The sequence below is a fragment of the Homo sapiens genome, chromosome 5 (assembly GCF_000001405.40).
Source record: "Homo sapiens chromosome 5, GRCh38.p14 Primary Assembly".
Classification (NCBI taxonomy): Eukaryota; Metazoa; Chordata; class Mammalia; order Primates; family Hominidae; genus Homo; species Homo sapiens.
This window is the reverse complement of record NC_000005.10, coordinates 170968606-170991187: the sequence shown is the minus strand read 5'-3', so window position 1 is coordinate 170991187 and position 22582 is coordinate 170968606. Positions and strand designations below refer to the sequence as shown.

The 22582-nt window shown below is 35.1% G+C and overlaps 1 protein-coding gene across 21 annotated transcripts in view; it reads right to left on the bottom strand.

Annotated features, from left to right (window-relative positions):
* Positions 1-22582, bottom strand: part of RANBP17 (RAN binding protein 17) — a 437998-nt gene that overhangs the window by 308828 nt on the left and 106588 nt on the right. Inside the window, exons 15-16 of one of the 21 annotated variants that reach the window (XR_007058629.1) lie at positions 7943-8123; positions 4506-5218 (exon numbers count right to left, since the gene is read on the bottom strand). The exons of 18 other annotated variants lie outside the window; for them this stretch is intronic. Coding sequence is in view for 1 of the 3 variants with exons in the window: in XM_017009746.3 (XP_016865235.1) it covers positions 8091-8123 (33 nt within the window). In the remaining 2 variants the exon portion in view is untranslated. Of the gene's footprint in view, positions 1-4505; positions 8124-22582 lie in introns of those variants that run through there. 2 more of the 21 variants (XR_941108.3, XM_017009746.3) reach the window with 2 other exon arrangements.

Here is a 22582-nt window from a genome sequence, read left to right as displayed (position 1 = left end):
AATAAAGCTACTTAATAATTTTCATCTCCTACAGGCTAGAGAGAAGCATTATTGCATATTAAAAATTGGAGTGTAGTTTTCCCAGAGGTAAAAGAAAGTTATTAAAACAACCTATTTATTGTTGATATAACTATCCATTTGTGCCACACAAAAAGTAACAAATTTCAGTACATTAAAAGAAAAGCTAATTAAGGCATAATTAGTATTTTCTGTATTTTGATAATTAGGGGTTAGTTGGCTATTCCTTTTCAAATTCCTATTTGATGCACCCCGACAATGCCTTTAATGAGCAACTAACGCTATTGTATCCCTCATGGCAGAGGAGTTTAGTGACCACTACTACATTACTTTCATTTATCACTGCCTCTTTACCTATAAATTAATCTAGCCCTGTAGCTATGTTGATCTACTTTATATCAATTTCTTCATCCATATCAGCTGAATATGTATGGCATTAACCTCATTTGCTAGTTGAGAAAAGCAGAATTAAAATGAGATCTAATTTCTCGTGCACAGCACAATTTCAAAACTGCCTGCTAATTTCCACCACCTGTCAGTGTGAAGCGCCTTTACTTTCTTATAATTAAATAAAACAGTATATTTTTTTACCAGCCCTGAAAAATGCTAATCTTTCAAAAGTGTTCAGTGATCATTAATCATTAGGACACTAAAGAAGCCTTATTCAGAATGCTCATTTATCCTTTGTTTAAACTGAAAAAATTTGTTGGCCTTTTCAGAGGAAGGAAAAAAATAAATGTACCAGATGGAATATAAAAATAAACTATTATATTCCACACTACTAAAGTTTATATTTATCTGGTTTACTGTCACATGCTGGCAAGACGCTTAACATTACATAACCAAGAGGTAGCTACTTTGATAAAATAAGCAGAAATATAGTAAGCCACAACTTTCGCTGAAATCAGTGGGAATCTAATAAATACACATTGCATTCATTTATGTGTAGTAGAATCTAAAGTTATAAGACAATATAGTATAATTGGAGAATAATTATTGATACCATATTTTTAAATTTTTATTCAATAAATTGCAAACTATGCTATGAATTAAATTGTTGCTTAAAAGTATCATCTGAACAATGGCAATACCATTCAAACTTAGACAATTATAGTTAAGCACTTTAACTTGGACTTTGCTGATTTTCCCAAATGTATATAACAAGTAGGGAAAATGTGAAAATATAAAAAACAAGAAAATACATGCTCATTGTTTTAGTACTAAAGACAATAAATATTTTGTCATATTTCCTCTGTCCTTTTGCTAATACTTTAGCTTTCATTGTTTGTTTTACATCTTTGTAATCATACTGTATACATGAAAGTTGATAGTCTGAAATTCTGGCTTAACAGTCATATATATTTTTCAGTAAGCCTAACTTCTTAACTTTCCTTCCTGGATATTAGATAAGAACATGAGTTAGCAAAGACCAGTATACATCTGAGGAAAAAATATAAAAACACACATACTCCAATACATTATTAAGATGTTTAAACTACTTAATACCAAGCTCTCAGGCTAAACGTATCTATTCTCCAAATACTAATTTGCCTTGGGAATAATATCCAATGATTATCTTCTTACACTTATCCTACCAAAACAGTATAACATATTAGTATAGAAGTGATTAATTAATATAGGGAACTTTTAAATAATCATGAAATAAATGATTAAAAATTAAATAATCCACAATATTCCTCATTCAGTTTTGCAGGAAACATTTGACATTAAAGGATCACTATCTTGAAACCTAAAATTCTTTTCGCAATATTTCGATTACAAACTTGTAGCTATTATGACTTATGTTTCCAAATGATACTCAAGCCATCATAATATATGGATGTTAAGCATTCACTGAAGAGGAAGCAAAGATGTGGGATGGATTATTTACACAGACTGAATAGCTTCAGCGTTTCTGCAGCACAAGTAGGATAGATTATATCTCATCCTGATTCCCTTCAAGCAAGATACTTAAGTCAATTATAAGCATTAGAAAATACTTCCAAGTATGTAGTATGAGATTCTCACTGACAACTATTTTTGACAAATAATAATTTTAGCACCACCATTACAGGTGAACATATTTCTAGTAAAAACTTAGTAGAGGGTTTGCCTATGACTTTATTACTGAAATACCAAAGTTACTGACGTGTATTCACACATGATCTTACTTTAAGCAACTTGAATATTTTTAAGATAGCAAATTCTACCCAAGACTCCGGTAAGGAAGGCTTCCCATCTTCATCTTACAAACTGGTTGCCAGTAGCTAGGACTATAGGTGCATTGCCACCATGCCTGGCTAATTTTTTTCCAGTCAAATAATGGCATATTTAATTTGGTACAAAAATAATAAACAGTAAGAGGTATCTGGCAGAGTCTCTGAATGTTCAACAACATCCATCCTTATTCCAGAAGCAAGAACTATCACATAAGTGCAAAGATCATGTATGTATAATACATATATAATGAACTGTAGACATAAAATTTTAATTATGAAAATCTTTTATCAGGGAAAATATGCATATTTGTGGCCCTAGCCTTCTGATTTGTGGACGAAGATTGCCTTGTTGATGATTTCCACAAGATCCAATGACTATTAAAAAAAATTACAGACTGATGGAGGGACTGGGTTTTCAAGTCGTAAAATTTAGTAACTAAAACCTCTTTCAAATTGAAAGTCTTCTTTAGTGCTGACAACTCTTCAAAGTACATCTACTTGGTATTTGGGTATTTAGTCACATACTACATGGTATTTCATTTATTATTCTTATTCCTAGAATCACCAAAAAAAAAAATCAAACACTAAAAGATAGGTGGAATACAGAAAACTTTTCTCTACCAGATGAAATTATCACCCTCTCCCTTACTTAAAAAAAAAAAATCAATCATCAAACTATAATTACTCGAGAACAATCCAAAAAGTGCCATTCACATCAGAATGCACGTGGAGTTTTACTTTGTGCATTTATCCACAGATACCGAATTTTATAATGATTGAGAATTTATAATCATTAAAAGTAAGTAGAAAAAAAGAGAGGAAAAAATAGAGTAAAAATATTCTGTGGGTAAGCATATATTTTATTAAGTAATCACAAAAAATCATCATCTTTGAATTCTTCCAGGATCTAGCATAGCACAAGGGAGAGAGTAAGTGTTTAATGTATATATAATTACATAACAAAATATAATTCTCACAAGATTTGATGTCAAATAATGGTATATTTGGTATGATAAATAAATAGTAAAAGTCAGCTTATTAAAAAAAAACTAAGCCCATATTTTTCCAATTTACTTCCTGTATTTCTCTAACTTACACCATAATTTTAATTACCAGTGGCTGCAAAGATTTTAACTAGATTTTTCTGCCCCAAACATCCTCGTCTAGTGCTTAATGCTCTTGCACCAACACTTAAATGCACTTATGGAATTCATTCTCAAAAGTAGAATTTGGCAAATCTATTTATACAGCAAAGACGTTTTTAAATAAAATAATTAGGCCTTTAGTCTAATTATTTGCTCAACTTTCTGTTAAGCAGGTATAAAATGTGTGTTTTTAAAAACAGTTAATATATATTACCATGTAGGATAAAAAAGTGGGAAGCGGTATAGAGAAATTATTTTTTTTTTAAAAAGGCCTATCTGAATACTAATGTATTATATATGTATTGAGCATATGACATGACTATTAAAATAACAAATCCCTGAACAATAAAACTATCTAGCAGTATGTACATTAACTTGAAATATAAGCACTAACCACTCACCAAGAAGGAAAACCTAACTAGGTCAAATTGTTATCTATTACAAAAACTGATTATGATATATTTATTCAGTATATGGTAGTCAAAAAGCAGCCCAGAAATAGTCTGAAAAGCTTTAAAACACTTAACAGAAAAAAATCCCTAAAGTCACTAAGCATTATTCTGTAACAATCAAGCTTCAACATATAATCTTAAAGGTCACAGGTGCCTTTCCCCTATAATCTACATGATATATTTGGCATGCTGAAATATTTAAAATGTTTCAATGTTTAGTGTTTAAAAGGTATTAAAGCTGCTACCTATTTTTCACCAAAGTGAAAATTCTATGTATGAAACAATTTGTTTAGGATGAACTTTCTAAACACTTTTCCCCCAAATTGTGTATCAAATACAAACATACAAGTTGCCAGTAATCAGAATATATCCAAGTACCATGAAACAGCAGCTAGTACATTATTTTAACATTGGATTGCACTTAAAGTTGTAGTAGTCCATTGAAGATACTATCATGAAATGTTTTTCTATTTCCTTATTCAAGTGTTTTCCTACTCAATTTAACAGTAACTGTTATTACAGTAACATACCATACAGGAAGACATAACAATTGCAGGGAAAGAATGCCATCTGCTGCTTCATATGTGTACTCAACAGTAGGAAAAAGGTTGAATAATAAGTAATTACACAAAACAATTTAGAAATCCATATACACAGATAAAGCTTGAAAGTTTAGATAATTCCCCGTTTTTATTTTGGACAATTTGAAAATACATCAATGAGAACTTATCTTTTAAAAAATTTCTAGATTTGCAATTATTATGGGTACATCACAGGTATATATATATATATGTTTATGGGGTTCATTTGATGTTTTGATAAAGGCATACAGTGTGTAATAAACATCAGGGTAATTGGGGTATCCATTACCTCAAGCATTTGCCATTTGTGTTAGGAGCATTCCAATTCTACTTGTTTAGTGATTTTAAAATATACAATAAATTATTGTTCACTATAGTTACACTACTGGAGCACTTATCGGCTTAATGCAAATTTCAAGTTATTCCACAAAAAAGATCTAAACATGCTTATATATCACTAGTTCATGACACTTATAAACAAGGCTTTTACTCAGGTACTGAGAGCCACAGAGTCAAAAGGAAAGGTTCACTTCCTGGCCTTTACAAACTTATTTATGAATTACTATATTATCCTCTTTAGAAACTTGTGGTTTATATGCAAGGAGATCATATAATTTATCATCCAAACAGAGACATTTTTGAGAATGAAAGATGAAGCTATTAACTAACAATCTGCCAAGACAACAAGCGTGAGCTGGGGAAATCTCAGGCAAATCTGGATGTATGGTAACTTTATTTATAAATTACTATTCTGTTTTCACTCCCTCTGGCTTCATAACCTTCCCAATGCCTTGAAAATCTTCCTGAAAAGCAATTTGGAAATTTTTAGGAAATATGTAAATTCAGAAGAATGAAGGCAAAAAATAAAAAGGAGGAAACTAGCATAGGTATACACTCCCAGACAAGATGGTACCCCTATCCAAGCAGCTACCACAACACATACTGATTTTTTCACTTCACTTTGTTATACCATTTGAATTATTTGGCACTAATAAATATTTTCTTTAGGAAAGGCAATCCTTTCCAGGAGAATTCATTTATACAATAGCATGACATCCTTCAATTGGAATGTTTTCCAGTTGACATCTGGCAGATGAAAGGTACTGGAAAGAAAGCAGATTTGCACAAGTGCACACACGTGTGTGTTTTCCTGTATACCTAGATGGTGATGAACAAAAGAGATACAAGGGATTTCACCCTTTGGTGGTGAAAGATTGAATAGGATATCAAAACAAGGAATGAAGAATGAGAGCAAAAATTTTGAAGATTAACTTGTCTATTTCAAAATTTAAATGGAAGAGAGAAAGGGAATTACTTCTTGCTCAATTTCTGGTATCCTGTTTTGGGAGGACAGAATTCAGGCAAATTCTATTATACTATGCTTGATCAGTATCACTGTTTATGGGTCTATTTTTAAAGGAAAATACATTCCAGGACCTTAACAACACGTATTTATTAATTTTTGGAATTTCACTCACTGATAAGGTTTCATAACCAACCAAGACAAAACTGATGTTTATGGTAGGGTAAGCTTGAATAAAGGGATTTAAGAACAAAGTTCAAAACTTCTAACTTTTGGTAGATATTCAGAAGCTAAGATGTGTGTGTGTGTGTCTGTGTGTGCATTTGTGTGTGTCTGTGTTTGTGTATGTATGTGTTTGTGTGTATATGTGTGGTTCTGCGTGTGTGTGTGCCTGTGTGTGTATATGTGTCTGTGTGTGTCTGTGTGTGCCTGTGTGTCTGTGTGTGTATATGTGTATGTGTCTGTGTGTCTGTGTATATGTGTGTGTCTTTGTGTGTGTGTCTGTATTTTAAAAGGACTCTTCCTTATCCATTTTTAAAACTTAAAAATCACATTTTAATTGGATTAAAAATTAAAATGGACCTTTTCTAATAGACATTTAATATAAAAAATAATACTTAAAATTGTTATCAATAAACTAAGATAATTTATAATTAGAGTAAATGGTGACACACCAGGTAACAACTAATGGATACAAAAATAAACAGGAAATACTGTAAAATTCTGATACAGTCTAAGAAATATTCTAAGAGTTTTAACGTTTTAAATTATACCCTAATAAATAGGTGATCATTTACATATGTATTTAACTATTAGCTACACTTTTTTTTTGTTTTTGTTTTTTGAGACAGGGTCTTGCTGCCTCATCCAAGCTGGAATGCACTGGTGTGATCACAGCTCACTGCAGCCTGAAACTCCTGGACTCAAGTGATCTTCCATTTCACCCTCATGAGTATCTGGGACTACAGCCGTGTGTCACCATGCCCAGCTAATTTTTAGAATTTTTTGTAGAGACAGGGTCTCGCTATATTGCACAGGCTGGTCTCAAACTTCTGGCCTTAAGTGATCCTCCCGCCTTATCTCCCAAAGCACTAGGATTACAGGGGTGAGCCACTGTGCCTGGCCTAAACACACTTTTGGTTAGAATATTTTATTCCATGAACATTCTGGAGTACTTTAATTATATGTTACTAAACTCCTGGGTGGGTTATCTATGTACCTCAGAAAGAAACCATACACCCGGATGACAAACTGGTCAGTCTGTAGAGACCTGAATTTGCTGTACCTTCTTGACTAGAATTCTGGTGCTCTAGACACAAGGTAGGCTGCATGTGACTGCTATGTGTCTGCTTTCCCAGACTTCCTACTCTTAAAAAACTCCTTCCCTTACATCAGTTATTTATTTATTTATTCAGTATTTGCTGAAAATCTAATGTTAGGCTCTGTAATGCTCACTGGGAATACCACAAGCCTTAGCTATACTAACCTATCTGGATTTCTTCCAATGTAGAGCTTTAAGGCTTTGCACATTCTGCTTCTACCTCCTAGAACAAGCATCCCATTTTCCTTCCTCTTCAGCAGCTTCAACTAATTCTTCTGGATTTCATTCAGGAATCTTCTCTCCCAGAAGCCTTTCTGATTCCCAAAATCTGGGTTAAATACACTGTCCCCTGTGTTTTCAGGGCACCAAACGCTTACCATTATTTTTTCATGCATAAAACTATGTTGTAATTGTCCAAATTTGTATTTCTACTAAAATTATACACATACATGATTTAAAAAGTAAAACAGTAATAAAAAACTGCCATCCTCTGACATACTCCTCTCCATATCTGATTCCAATACTCAAGTCAACCCATTTTCAACTCTTTCGGCTATTTCTTTTACTATTTTCATTCATTCTTCTAAATAAACAGGCAGACAGAGCTATTTCCTGATATAAGAATTTTTCACATTATCTTTTGACTCCCTAACATATTTATGATACTGTATTCATCATTCATAACTAAGTTCCATGGTACTATGATTCAATTCCCTTTTGTGCACAAATGTTTAGTTTGACTTCCTTTTCATTTACCTAAGTTTTATGTGATTCTATTTATTACTAGTTGACCCTCAAACACTATTCCAGATCTGTAAAACTCAATTCCTCTCAACCTGGTCCAAGACAGCAAGTAATCTATCAGTTCTTTAAAGAAAAATAACAAAACAAAACACCTATGACCTTCCATCTGCTCCAGTTTGAACTGGTTGCTCTCAAGGCCTGAGGCACAGCTGTTATCCGAGAGCTTCCCTTAGCCTCTCTCCTGTGTTTGATCCTCTGATTCTCAGATCCCATCTCTCCCTTCTTCCTCTTTTCTTGGTTTACTTTTTTAATTGAGTAGTATACAGTCTCCAGCAACTTCCTGGTAAAAGATATAAGAGAAGTAAAGTTGAGGCTTTGTCTGAGTGAAAAGGTCTTTATTCTATTTTCATACTTAAGTTTTACTGGATATACAATTTTAAGTTGAAATTCATTTTCTTTCTCAAAATTGGCAAGACAATGTTTCACTGTCTTCTATTTTAGTATTGCAATTGAGAAGACCAATGTAATTTTCATTCTTAGTCCTTTGAATGTAACCCCTCTTCTCTCTGGAAGCTTTAAGGATCTCCTCTTTTTCCAATCCTGATGCTGTGAATTTCCAATACTATACCTTAATATGGATCTTCTTTCACTCACTTTGCTGGAACTCTGCATAGTCCTTTTCAGTATGGAACCTGTTATCTTTCACTACAGGAGAATTTCTAGTATTCTTTCTTTTTCTCTTACTGGAACTCCCATTAATCCAATGTTGGACCTCCTGGATTCTCTATTTTCTCTCCTATTATCCAGTTTTATTTTAACTTTCTGTTCTGCATTCTAGGTGATATTGGCTACTTTATCTTCCAAACCTACTAAGTTTTAATTTCTTCTATCATGTCTTAATTCCAAAGAGCTCTTCTCTGAATCATCTTTTAACAAAATCCTTTTAATGGTTTTAATATTAATTCTGTTTTCCTCCAATTTCCTATTTTCTGTTTTTCTCTTTGGTTTTCATATGAGGTTTTCTTCAAGAGGCTAGCTATTGTCAATTGTATTATCAGAATGAGTTACTCAAAAAAGAATAGGAGCTTTATGTTCACAACAGGGCTTCTCATCCAGTAAACCTCACTGTAGGGTCATAAGCAGGCTGATTTTAAAATTGAGGATCCTATATATCTATATCTATATCTGTAGGTCTCTCTCTTGAATAAGCTTCTTCATCACAAAAGCATTTCACTAATTTCCTGCTTTGGGGTTTTAACCCTGGCTAACAGTTCATGACAACTAAGAGTTGTAAAGTGTCTAGGAATATTTTTCAGTCCAGTGTCTTATTCTTATCCCCTAGAACCTCCTGTTCAAACTTCCATAAAAAACTTCCTATCTCTTGCAAGAATTTCGGAGAGACAATCTCCAGTTGTGCTGGGACAGGTAAGCGTTCTGGGAATATAATTAATCCTAATTAAATCAGTTATCCTATTTTTAGCCACACCCCGAACTGCAGCATTCAAAGGTATCTAGAGTCTCCAAGTTCTGGGCTTTTCCAGGGTTCTTAGTGCAAATCACCTAACTACTAGCTTTCTTCACTGCAGGAATTTAAGGTTAGAATCTCTCAGGTACATTAAGACAGATACCGCTTATACATCTGGTTGCTAGTTTCAAGTCTCCTAACATACTGTATTAGTCCGTTTTCATGTTGCTGATAAAGACATACCTGAGACTGGGTAATTTATGAAAGAGGTTTACGGACTTACAGTTTCACATGTCTGGGGAGGCTTCACAATCCTGGCACAAGGCAAGGAGCAGCAAGTCACGTCTTACATGGATAGTGGCAGGCAAAAAAAAAAATGAGAGCCTGTGCAGGAAAACTCCCCCTTTTAATAACCATCAGATCTCATGAGACTTCCTATCACAAGAACAGCAGGGGAAAGACCTGCTTCCCTCCCACAACACGTGAGAATTCAATTACCTCCCACCAGATCCCTCCCACAACACACGAGAATTCAAGATGAGATTTGGGTGGGGACACAGCCAAACCCTATCATTCCACTCCTGGCCCCTTCCAAATCTCATGTCCTTATATTTCAAAACCAATCATGCCTTCCCAACAGTCCCTCAAAGTCTTAACTCATTTCAGCATTAACTCAAAGTCCACAGTCCATAGTCTCATCTGAGATAAGGCAAGTTCCTTCTGCCTATGAGCCTGTAAAATCAAAAGCAAGTTAGTTATTTCCTACACAAAATGGGGGTATAGGCATTGGATAAATACAGCCATTCCAAATGGGAGACATTGGCCAAAACAAAGGGGGATACATGCCCCATGCAAGTTTGAAATCCAGCAGGGCAGTCAAATCTTAAAGCTCCAAAATGATCTCCTTTGCCTCCATGTCTCACATCCAGGTCATGATGATACAAGAGGTGGGTTCCCATGGTCTTGGGTAGCTCCGCTCCTGTGGCTCTGCAGGGTAGACTCCCCTCTACTGCTTTCACAGGCTGGCGATGGCTTTTCCAGGTGAACAGTGCAAGCTGTCAGTGGATCTACCATTCTGGGGTCTGGAGAACAGTGGCCCTCTTCTCACAGCTCCACTAGACGATGCCCCAGTAGGGACTCTGTGTGGGGGCTCCAACCCCACATTTCCCTTCCGCACTGCCTTAGCAGAGGTTCTCCATGAGGGCCCCGCTCCTGTAGCAAACTTCTGCCTGGACATCCAAGCATTTCTATACATCCTCTGAAATCTGGGTGGAGGTTCCCAACTATAATTCTTGACTTCTGTGCATTTGCAGGCTCAACACCACATGGAAGGTGCCAAGGCTTGGGGCTTGCACCCTCTGAAGCCGTGGCCTGAGCTCTACATTGGCCCCTTTCAGCCACAGCTGGAGCAGCTGCGACACAGGGCACCAAGTTCCTAGGCTGCACACAGCATGGGGACCCTGGGCCCAGCTCATGAAACCATTTTTTCTTCCTAGGCCTCTGAGCCTGTGATGGGAGGGGCTCCCACAAAGGTCTCTGACATGCCCTGGGGACATTTTCTCCATTGTCTTGGGGATTAATATTCAGCTTCTCATTACTTATACAAATTTCTGCAGCCAGCTTGCATTTCTCCTCAGAAAATGAGATTTTCTTTTCTATCACATTGTCAGGCTACAAATTTTCCAAACTTTTATGCTGTTTCCCTTTTAAAACTGAATGCCTTTAACAGCACCCAAGTCACCTCTTGAATGTTTTGCTGCTTAGAAATGTCTTCCACCAGATACCCTAAATTATCTCCCTCAAGTTCAAAGTTCCACAGATCTCTAGGGTAGGGTCAAAATTCCGCCAGTTTTGTTGTTAAAACATAGTAAGAGTCACCTTTGCTCCAGTTCCTCATCTCCATCTGAGATCACATCAGCCTGGATTTCACTGTCCATATAATTATCAGCATTTTGGTCAAAGCCAATCAATAAGTCTCTTGGAAGATCCAAACTTTCCCACATTTTCCTGTCTTCTTCTGAGCTCTCCAAACTGTTCCAACCTCTGCCTGTTACCCAGTTCCAAAGTTGCTTCCACATTTTCTGCTATCTTTTCAGCAATGTCCCACTCCCAGTACCAATTTACTTTATTAGTCCATTTTCATGCTGCTGATAAAGACATACCTGAAACTGGGCAATTTACAAAAGAAAGATGTTTACTGGACTTACAGTTCCATATGGTTGGGGAGGCCTCACAATCATGGCAGAAGGCAAGGAGCAGCAAGTCACATCTTACATGGATGGCAGCAGGCAAATTAAGATAGCTTATGCAGGACAACTCCCCTTTATAGTAACCATCAGATTTTGTGAGATTTAGTCACTACCATGAGAACAGCATAGGAAAGACCTGTCCCATGATTCAATTACCTCTCACTGGGTCCCTCCCACAACACATGGGAAATCAAGGTGAGATTTGGGTGGGGACACAGCCAGACCATATCATTCTCTAATTTCTTCCTTGCAAATGTATTTTTTATTCCTCTACTCTCATTATGATACAGTTGCAAGGGGACAGGAGGGTAAATGTGAAATTTTAATTTGCTATATTTAACTAGAGTTCTTATAATTATTTCTTTTGCAAATTAAATATTTCAAATATAGAGAAAGGCATAAAATTTAATAAACACCCATGCACACCCACCATGCAGACTAAGAAAATATTACAGATATGGTTGAACTATGCCTTTTGCTCTAATCCATTCCTCTTCTCAACCAGAGATAACCATTATCCTGAATTTAGTGTTTACTAATCCCATGCACATATTATTTTTACCATAGGTAGAATTCATGAGCATACAATTTTCTTAACATATTTGACATAGGAATGTCATTTGTGTCCTTGTATGACTTTTTTTCATACCATATTGTGGATGGTTTTATAGAGTTACCCAAAAATAAACGTAGTTTTAGATCATTCATTTTCACTGTTATACATAATCCCACTGTGTAACAATACCGTAATTCATCCATTCTTCTACTGATAGGCAAGTTTCCACTTTTTTACACAATTACACACCAGGCTTCCATGAATCTTTTGTAAAAAAAATTAATTGAGGCAAAATATGAAGTGCACAAATCATAATATGAGCTCAGTGTCTTTATATATGTATACACTCATTTAAGCCCCATCAAAATAAAACATTTCAAGGTCCCCAGAAGGCTCCCTTAGTTCACTTTCCCAGTCAAAATATTCTCCCTACCCAAAGGTAACCACCATTCTGACTTCCATCACCATAAATTAGTTTTGACTGTTATAGAAATTGGTAAGTGGAATAATAAAATATGTACACTTTTGATCTTTTTCATTCTTCATCATAGCTGAAGTGATTATTGTAAAATCATCATAAATTCATCCAAATTTTTGCATGTAGTTTTTCTTTTTTTAAATCGTTGTATAGTATTACAGTGTATGAGTATACATTAATTTATTTATCCATTTGACTGCTGACAGACACTTGGGTTGTTCCCAGTTCTTGGATATTATAAATAAAGTTGCTATAAATATTCTTGTACACTGCATTTGGCAAACATATAAATTCATTTCTTCTGGGTAAATAAGAGTAGAGCTGATGAGTCATAAGGTAGACTATATCCAGTTTTAGTACATCGCCAAATAGTTTTCCAAAATGATTTTATTAATTTACACTGCCACCAGCAACAAATGTTATCATGTGTTCCACTCCATCATCAAGGTTTGATCAGTTTTTAAAATTTTTAGCCATTTTGTCAGATGAGCAGTGATATTTCACTTAGGTATTAATTAGTATTTCTCTGATGATGACTAATAATACTGAACACCTTTTTATATGCATATTGGCCATTTAGATACCTTTTTTCAGTGCTTGTTGAAATCTTCTGCCCATTTTAAAAGTGAGTTTTTTGGTCTGTTTTTTGGTAACAAGTTGACATATTCACCTACTATATAATTCACACACTTAACGTGCACAATTCAGTGTTTTTTTCTATGGATATGTGCAGCCATCACCACAATCAATTTCAGAATATTTCAACACCACAAAGGTATTTCATACCTTTTGTCCATGACTACCCAATCTCCAATAACCCCAGCCCTAGGCACCCAATAATCTACTTTCTATTTCTATAGATTTGCCTATTCCAGACATTTCAAACCACTGGAATCATGTGGTATTTGTTTTTTTGTGGCTGGCTTATTTGACTTAGCGTAATGTTTTCAATTATCATACTTGTTACGGCATCTATCAGTACTTCATTCCTTTTTATGGCTGAATAACATTCCACTTGGGGAAATACCAAATTTTATCTATCCATTCATCAGCTAATAGACATGCAAATTTTTTTCCACTTTGTGGCTATTGGAAATAATGCTTCTGTGAACATGTGTGCAAATGTTTATGTAGAGTGTAGTTTCCATTTTCTTGGATATATACATAAGAGTAGAAATACTGAATCATGGTAACTCTATGTTTAACCTTTTGAAGAACTGCCAGACTGTTTTTCAAATTGGTTGCAATATTTTACGTTCCTTGCAACAGTGTATGAAGATTCCTATTTCTCCACATTCTCACTCACAATTGTTATTATCTTTTTTTTTTAATCATATTCATCCTAGTGAGTGTAAAGTGGTATCTATTTCTGGCACTGACATGAATTTCTACCATAAATAATGATGCTGAAGATCTTTCCATGTCCTTGTTGGCCATTCATAGATTTTCTTTGGAGAAATGTCTGTTTAGATCTTTTGCCCATTTAAAAAACTGGGTTATTTATCTTTTTATTATTGAGTTATAAGAATTCTTTATAGATTCTAGATGCGAGACCTTTATGAAATATATGATATGCAAATATCTTCTCCCATTTTTGTAGGTTGCGCTTTCAATTTCTTGATGATGTCCTCTGAAGTACAAAAGTTTTTAAATGATGAAGTCCAATGTATCTTTTTCTTTAGCTGCTTGAGCTTTTGATGTCATAGCTAAGAAACCATTGTCCAAAGTCATAAAGACTTACTTCTATGTTTTAAGCATTTTATATTTTTCTCACATTTAGATCTGATTCATTTTGAGTTAACTTTTGCATATGGTGTGAGAGAGAGGACTAACTTCATTCTTTTGAATGTGAATATCCAGTTGTACCAGCATCATTTGTTGAAAACTATTCTTCCACTACTGAGTTATGTTGATGCCCTTGTCAAAAAATCACCTGACTACAAATGTGAAGGTTTTTACCTGGACTCTCCATTCTATTTCATTCGTTTATATGTATATGCTTACCACACTGTCTTACTATAATTACTATAACTTAATATTATTGTAAGTAACAACTTATTGCTGCTTTGTAGCAAGTTTTGAAATTAGAAAGTGTGAGTATTCCAACTTTGTTCTTGGCCAAGATTGTTTTGGCTATTCTGCGTTCTTTTAATTTCACACAAATTTAAGGATAAGCTTGTCAATTCCTGCAAAGACAACAGCTAAGATTTTGGTAGAGATTGTGTTAAACCTGTAGATCAATTTGAAGAGCACTGCTATCTTAACAATATTAAGTCTTGTAATCCATGACCATAAGATATCTTTCCAGTTATTACATCCCCTTTAATTTGTTTCAACAATGTTTTATGATTTTCAGATTATAAGTTTTACACTTTTGTTAAATTTATTCCTATTTAATTCTTTCTGATTCTATTATAATGGAATGTTTTGTTCCTTTTGTTTTTGGGTTGTTTATTGCAAGTGCACAGAAATTCAGTCGAGTTTTTGTATTAATCTTATAATCCTGCAAACTTACTGATGTTATTAGTTCTAACAGTTTTTCAGTGGATCCTTAGGATTTCCTATACATAAGATCATGTCATCTGCAAGTAGAGATGTAATCCCTTTATTCCTAGATTCCTTTTTTTTTTAAATCTGGATGCCTTTTTGTTTTGTTTTGTTTTGTTTTTTGCCTATTTATCTCAATAGAACCCCTAGTACAATATTTAATAGAAGAGAAGGGAGTAGCCATGCTTGTCTTACTCTCGATCATAAGAGAAAGCACTTATAAGATGCTGGAATCCATTTTGGTGTTTCTGTTTGTTTGTTTTTTTGTTTTTTAGCTTTTACATCTATATTAAGACCCTAGTACTATTCAAAGGACAGAGAGAAAAAGAATAAAAAACAAACAGAGCTGCAGAAAAAATGCGGGAAATTCGTATGTTAAAATCTAATTTCCAATGTGATGGTTTTAAGAGAGAGGGCCTTTGGGAGAGAATTATAAGGGGGATTAGTGCCCTTATAAAAGGTGCCCTTATAAAAGTGGCAAAGAACCTAGAAGAATTGTTTGTGTCCTACTGTTTTGTAAAAAAGAATTTGTAAGGAATGATATAGAATATTTGGCTGAATACATTTCTTTCTTTTATTTTTTGAGACAGGAGTCTCACTCTGTCACCCAGGCTGGAGTGCAGTGGCGCAATCTCGGCTCACTGCAACCTCTGCCTCCCAGGTTCATGCAATTCTGTCTCAGCCTCCAGAGTAGTTGAGATTACAGGCACGTGCCACCACGCCTGGCTAAATTTTGTATTTTTAGTAGAGACAGTGTTTCACCATATTGGTCAGGCTGGTCTCGAACTCCTGACCTCAGGTGATCTACCCACCTCGGCCTCCCAAAGTGCTGGGATTACAGGTGTGAGCCACCACGCCCAGCTGGCTGAATAAATTTCTAAGCAAAATAATGGCTTGGTTTCCCTTGAATGTTTATAATAATAAAATGTGAGAAGAAAAATGATTTAAAGACAAAATGGTCAATCAAAAGGAAAGAGAACTTAAAGGTTTGAAAAATTATCAGCCTTTCCATATTGTGAAAAATGAGAAAGTATGTTCAGGAGAGAACACAAAAGGTGTGCCTGGACTGGCAGGGACAAGGAAAAAATGACCCTGAAAGTGTATCACAGATCCTTGGGGCTGTCTCTCATTCTGTCTCCCAGGCCCAGAGCGCAAGGGCCTGGAAGAAAAAATGATTTCAAAGGAAGGGCCATGGGTACTCACAGGACCCTAGCACTTGCTGCCTGGCCCTGCCTTAATACTCCACTCCCCACATTCTCATGCAGTGCTCCTTGGCTGCCCCAGGTACAGTTCCATAGGCCCAAGTGCAGCCTAGGCTAAAGTGATTACCCCTTCAGAGGGCATAGAGAGTAAACACTGGTGGCATACATGCAGTACCACTTCCTCCAGCTTGCAAAATGCTCAAGCCATGGGGGTGTGGCCACCTCCAGTTCCAAAAATAGAGCTGCCTGGAGCTTCAGCTGTACAACTCAGAGGGTTGCTGGAAGGACAGGGCCACCAGAGAAAGTCCCCACTATGGCAATGCCTAGTGGAGTCATGGGGGCAGAGTCATTCATCTCTGGAACTCTAGACTAAAAGAGCCACTGGCATGTGATTCCATCCTGGGAGAGCAGCAAGCACCCAACTCCAGTATATGAGAACTCTACCACCTAGAGCCTTGGGAGCCTAATCCCTACCCCAGTGTGTTCAGAAAGTAGGACATTAAGTCAAAGAAGATTATTCTGGAGCCTGAAGATTTAATGCTGCCTTATTAAGTTTTGGACGTGTTCAAGACCTGTCATTTCTTCCTTCATTCCTGTTTCTCCCTTGTGGAATGGCAAGGACTACCCTGTGTCTGTCCCACCATTGTATTTTGGAAGCATATGATGTTATCTGATTTAACAGGCTGACAGCTAGAGGGGTAATTTGGCTCAGAATGAATCACTGTGGAGTCTCAACCACATCTCATTTAGATGATATTTACATGAGACTCTAGGCTTCAGACTTTGGAGCTGATTGTAGGATAAACTAAGACTTTGGGGACTAAACTAGAATGGAATGGCGTGTTTTGCATATGAGAAGGACATGCACTTTGTGGGGCAAATGTGAAATGCTATGGTCTGAATGTTTGTGTCCCTGACAAAATCGTATGTTGAAATCTAATTCCCAGCATGATGATATTAAGAGGTAGGGCCTTTGGAGACAATTAGGTCATGAGGGCAGAGCTCTCATGGATGAGACTAGTGTCCTCATAAGTGGTCTGAGAGAGTTTGTGTGCCCTTTCCACTATGTGAACACACAGAGAGACGGCACCAACTATGAAAACAGAAAAGGGCTCCTACCACACACAAAATCTGCTAGCCTTGATCTTGAACTTCTCAGGCTCTCAAACTGTGAGAAACAAATGTTTGTTGTTTATGGTATTTGTTAACAGCAGCCCAGAGGACTAAGACCATGTTTACTGGCCATTGTGATTTCTTCTTCTGTGAAGTGTTTATTCATGTATTTTGGCCATTTTACTAGTAGGTAGCTTTTCTCTTATTTATTCACAGAAATTATATAACCGAATGTTGATTCTCTATAAGTTACATGTATTATGAATGTATTCCTACAGCTTTTCTTTATTACTTTGTCTATTGTGTTTTCTGATTCACAGGAGTTTTTACTTTTAATATAGGTAGAAGTTACCAACTTCTGAGTTTAGAGCTTAGCTTTTTTATGTCTTAAAAAATTCTTCCCTATCCCTAAATCATAGTATTCTGCTTTTCATATTTAGAGTCTGTCTTCTACTAGAAATTGATTTTTGCATGATATGAAGTCTTAATCCAAATTTTCACATACAGATAACCAAAAATCCCAGCAGTATGTATTTAATAGTTTGTCTGGTCTTCATTTCATCATATGCTGTTTAAATGCATATATGAATCAATTTTATAATTTTTTTTCCTTACTTGTCCATGTTCCCTTTAACTAAAAACTTACAGGGGAGATGGATGATCCTATTCACTTTTGCATCCCTGGCATTAATACATAGTGGTTACTTATCAATAGTCACTGAGTAATGAACAGGAATAAACCAAAGGAAAAAAGACAGCAGCACATATGAATCATGTCATAAAGTGGAATGAAAAGAAATGATTTCAAAGGTAGGCAAAGTTTCATCATAAGCAAGAATTCATTTTATAAGTAACGAGAAACCAATAAAAAAATTTAAGCAGAAAAATTGCACAGGAAAAATTTTTCTGAAAGACTGGCAAAACTTAAAGTCTGACAAAAGCACATATAATGACAATAGAAACAGACACCTACCCTGGCTGGGGGAGAGGAAATAAGCTGTTATAACACTTAGGAAGGCAACCTAATAATATCTAGTAAAGCTTAAGATATGTACATTTTACAGCCCAGCAATTCTACTATTTATCTTCACAAAACTCTTACATATGCATGAGGATGCAGACATGAGAATATTTACTGCAGTATTGTTTGTAAAAATTGAAAATCTGGAAACAATCTAACATATCAATAATAAAATCAATGTATAATGGCATAGTGATACACTCTAATACCACTCAATAATTAAAATAATTAGAACTATATGTGTCATTATGAATAAATCTCAAAAATGGTAATAAAAAAAGATGAATTCTGGTCAGATGTGGTGGCTCACGCCTGTAATTGCAACACTCAGGGAGGCTAAGGTGGGTGGATCACCTGAGGTCAGGAGTTCGAAACCAGCCTGGCCAACATGGTGAAACCTCGTCTCTACTAAAAATACAAAAAAATTAGCCAGGCGCGGTGGTGCATGCCTGTAATCCCAGCTACTTGGGAGGCTGAGGCAGGAAAATCACTTGAACCTGGGAAGCGGAGGTTGCAGTGAGTCAAGATGGCGCCATTGCACTCCAGCCTGGACAGCAAGAGCGAAACTCCACCTCAAAAAAAAAAAAAAAAAAAAAAATCCTAAAGATCCAAACTGCATAATACTTTTATATAAAGTTAACAGTGCTGTGTTTTGTTTATATATACACAGAAATGTAGAAAAAGTACAAAATCATGGATGAGAATAATACTAAATTTAGGACAGTGGGGCAAGAAGCTAGAGAAGTGAAATCAGAGCAGCAACAGGATTATTCATGTTTAACTCAAAAATATACAGATCTGAAGCAAATATAGCAAAGCATTAAGACTTGACAAAACTGAATGATGGGCATATGAGTGTTTATTACATTATTCTTTGGTTTTCTAATAAAAAAATACTCCAGTGGCAGTATGGAAAATAGAGTGGAGTGGGGAGAAGCAAAATGGAAACAAAGAGGGCAAGTAGAATACTTTTGAAATTCCATAGGAAATAACAAGCAGTGAAAGTGAGGCTAAAAAGAAAGGGGCAGAAGAAAGGAGTACACCTGAGAGATACTCCAAAAGTAAAATTCACAGGATTAGGTGACAGATTGGATACAAGAGGTACAAAAGGGAAATTCAATGTCATTCTTCTTTAAAATATGGGAAGTAGGAAGACAGAGTTCTAAAAGATAGTGAGTTCCTTTTTGGAAATAAGTTTCAAGGGCCCATTCAACATCCCAGTGGAAAGATCCAATAAAAAGGAGGCAATATACCAAAGTGGTCAGCAGCTCAGGCTCTGCAGTCAGGTGCCTAGGGTTCAAATCCAGGTTGAACCACTTAAACACATTGGTTAACCCCTCTAAACCTCAATTTCCATGTCTACAGAAAGGAAGGATTTTAACAAAATCGCTATTTTCATAGCATTTTTGTGACAATGAAATTATATAATGCCTTTCAAGTTCTGAGCAAAGTATTTGACACAGACTTGTTGCTCAATAAATGCCTATGGCTACTATTTACAACATTCTTTCTCACATATAGGACTTCTATCACATACATCACTTAGGACACTTTAGTAATTCCACCTTGGTTCCTGAAGAACTTACTTCTATAAATTATATTCTGTTGTCTATACAGGCTTTTATAAAATGTTCAAGATGCTTAATATTACACCTTATTTATAACTGCTGAATAATTTCACTCAAGTCAGCATCATTTTCCAACTCAAGAATATATCCTTTATTACCTGAAAGTATTATACATGAGATCTAGGCCGAATTCCTATAGAATTCTATTAAATACACACATTCAACAGTAAGTTGAAAGCATACAAACAATACATACATGCCAGGCTCTTTCAGATAACAATAAACAAGGCAGAAATAGTACTAACCAAAATTACAGTCTATTCACTAACAAGTAATTACAAAGCAGTGTAATAAATATTAAAACAGGGAACAAATGGGTGCTACAGAACACAGACAAAACGAACACTCTCAGAATTTGAGAGTTAAAAAGGGGATACTAAAGGATGGGGTCTCTGATAACAATAAGTAGTTGGCAGAATAAGGCAGAGAAGTAAAAGATGGATTTAAAAAAAATAGTGTCTTAACCCATTCATGCCTGAGGTTGGAATTTTTTAAATTTTTGCAATCAGACCTTGATGATGACCTTGAGCAGTAGGATATAAATAACTCCCACATGCTTAGCGTTCCAATAATGGAACACTAGGCATAATTAAGCAGGGGAAACATTTTCTTCTAATACCTGGAATTAACAGAGAGCACAGACTGCTGAAGAACCTGAAATAAGTTTACCACATATAAAGTATGCAGTGCAAGTATGGTGTACTGAAGTATGAAGCTGGTGACATATGCCGAAAAGAGATTGGGAAGAACCTTGAAGTCATACTCTACATGATACAATTAAATGAGACTGCTCAAAAGTGCTTAGCACAGTTCCTGGTACAAAATAAGCACGCATTAATTGTTAAACATTCATTTGCTATTATCTAGTATTCTCCCACTTTTTGCCACAATTTGGAATCAGACAATACACCCACCAAGAAATATGTTCCACTCACTCTTCCTTACGTAGTTGGTTGCTAAAAAAATTGTATATATAGTACTTACGAAATGTCTTAGAGAGTCTGTTCTTTCATTAGTAAAATGAGGACATTAATACCAACCTTGCAAGCCTACTGTAAGGAATAAAGCTAGCATGAAGAGTACCTAGGAGAGTGACGGGACACATAATTAAGGACTTCTGAAAATGATTTCTATTAAGACAGATTGGCAGGTAAGTCAGAGAAACCAAAAAGTAGGAAGATTTAGTTTCACTCTGGGGTTATGCAATAGAAATGCCTTAGAAATTTTGTCACCTTAGGACTAACTTCCTTTAATAGGGTAAGATACACACACCAACAATGTTAAAGTTACAATAAAGGAGTCAATACCATTCTGGTGATGTGTTTACTTTTTCCTAAAGTGCAAGCTTTTTCAAAAACGAAAAACTAATCTGTAATTCGCTTTTTTTCACAATTACCTTATATTAAAAGTTTTGAAACAAAATCCGAAATCCCATAGCCCTAAAACAACTAGTCTCATTTTACATAGTTCCTTCCAGGTGCCTTCAAAACAACACTTAGAAGGATTTTCTACTCCATATTATACTGTTTTGATTTAAGACCTACACCAAATGGATACTGTATTAGCAATATTTTGAGAGTAACCCTTTTGCAAAAGCAAAGATACTCTCTGGACATATTAAACAAGAAAATTTATCATCATTTGATTTATATTCAATCTTCAAGTATCACATCTGGGATTATTAAAAAGGCACTCTGTTATATAAATTTTATAGTATGTAATTATTGTCTGATTCTAAGTTGTCTTACTGACAACCTAAAACATTTATTTCTAGCTACTCTTTTTCTTCCAAATGGTCTCATTTGGTGGCAGCTAAATTCTAAGAGAATTTTATTGATATTAATCCTAAATGATAATATCATAATATATTTGAGAAAGAAATTATAAAATGGCATCATTTCCTTAAAAAAGAATATTTTACCTGAAATAAACTAAAGGATAATCTTAAAATCAAACAAAAAATTTTTTCACACTACTACACAATTATTATTATCAGAAAATCCTAAGTAAACTGAAGGTTACATTTCCTAAGATAAAACAGCTAAAATGAGTATAAAAAGTTTATTTTAGAATTTTCAAATAAAAAATCCTACAACATCACTAAAACAAACTAAGTTCAAATGAAATGAGAATATCCTTAGAACTTCTTATGGCGAAGATTTTACTCAGTGTCAGTATCTAATGCTACTAAATATCTGCTTAGGTTTCACATAAATGCCCTTAATAATCTTTCATTATACTTTAAGATCAAGTCATCTTAACTTACTGATGCTAAACATTCAATTATCATACTATGAGTATTCCTAACATTAAGGTTATATGCAGTCTCCTAAGGACACATCTAATTTTCCTAGTCCTCATTATTTAATCATGTACAAATGCCAAGAAATTAGTGAAATATACTAGAAGCCACATAAATAAATAAGTGTCCAAAAAACCCTGGAACTACTAAAAAAGCAAATCTTATGCTTTCAGTCTTGAAATACAATAAGGCAAAATTGATTAGTGTTTAAAATAATCTCAACTGTTTAATGACCATC